Below are 1653 nucleotides of genomic sequence, written 5' to 3'. Positions count from 1 at the left end.
ATATTATTCCACTTCAACCTGACCAAAACCCTACAAATAAGAGAAACACCACATTTTTAGCCCCAGTTTGTGTGATTGAGAAATTGGGCTCCTGAAGTTCTTGTCCATGTGAGAGCAGTTTATAAATCATAGCTAGCAAGTGTTCATGCCCGAGGGTTTCTTCAGGGCATGGGATTATGTGGCTGACCCTCTGGCTGATATTCGACTCAAGAGGTCCTGATGGAATAGACCTGTCAGATCTGTCTTGTTCTTTACAGGGCCCAAGTCTCTTGGAGGAAGAACTGGATCTGTTTTCCAGATGATATGGGAGTTATTCTTAAGGAATTTATATGTATGCCAAAATGAGGAAGATGTTGACTTTTATTTACTAATAATTTAGGCACTAAAAATGTCACACTTTTGATGTACAAAAAATTTTGTGATTAATCCTTTAAAAATACATCTATCTGTTGAGTAAATTAAATTATCAAGGTTTATGGTATTGATTTTCAATGTAGTTTATGGTGCGACCTTAACATCATTATTGTGTGGACTACAAACCACAATATTATGAAAAGATATACTGTTTTTATGGCTCCAGAGATATAAATTTAGACATTAATACATTTTCCATTTTAAAATGGCTATTTTCAAGTCATTGCTGTTATGATGAAAATAAGAACTTATTCTGAAAATGTATTTCCAGTCCTGATCATATTCAGCTGTTTTTGTAAAGCTTTCCATTTCATTGTTAGGGTGAAGGAAACTTCATTTTCATCAGTGGGTGGAATCTGGGTTGTGTTTATAAGTGTGTTTTATTGAAGTCATCTAAGTATTACCAAAGAGTGGTAAGAGGAAGGTAAGATGATAGTTGTACTTAACACCATGGCAAAATGTAAGTGAAACACCTTCATCAACTAGATCTTACACTCATGTTTATGAAGCTCTACAGACAATATATATATCTCTCTCTTACAGTTTTAAAAAACCCTCATATACTACTTATACTATATTTACACTAAAGTTATACTATATATTATACTACTTACATTGTAACTAAATGGATAGACTTTGAAACTAATTAATTTATCTTTAGTCTAGGACTTTATACAGAAGGGTCAGCTCATAGCACTTTCATTTAAACCATTTTTCCCCCATAAATCTTGAAGACCTAATCCAAAGCACTTCCAAAACTCAATGTTGCCAATAATATCATTTCTCCTCTTCCTTTATAATACTTGCTCTTCAGAGTCCTTTGGAAAATGTCACAGGGGACTTTAAATACTCTATTTTCTCTCTTTCCTGTCATTGATTCTCCTCCACAGTCAGATAAGAACATAACAATATTAGAAGGAGTGATTTTTTTTAGCTTTTAAAGGGGACATAATGCTATTTCTGGGGGATGCCTCAGTGCACCTTTCAGAGGTTCACGCTTTTTCCAAAAGCAACTTCCCAAGTATTGCTCATATGCTCCTTGTGAATTTTGTAGACATATAATTTATAGCTGACAGAGGCCTCCATGGTGAATGTGGCTAAGAGTCCTGTAGCCCACTGGATGGGAAGAGCCTGGAGTCCAAGCACCTTCATGGCTGCCAGAGGACAATGGCATCATTAGGCATTTATTTCCATTTTTCTTTTGTTGTTGTTGTTGTCATTATTGTTATGTTATTTTGT

This window comes from Homo sapiens, chromosome 18, assembly GCF_000001405.40.
Source record: "Homo sapiens chromosome 18, GRCh38.p14 Primary Assembly".
In the NCBI taxonomy this organism is placed as follows: Eukaryota; Metazoa; Chordata; class Mammalia; order Primates; family Hominidae; genus Homo; species Homo sapiens.
The sequence above is the reverse complement of the archived record's forward strand: the minus strand, read 5'-3'. Positions refer to the sequence as shown.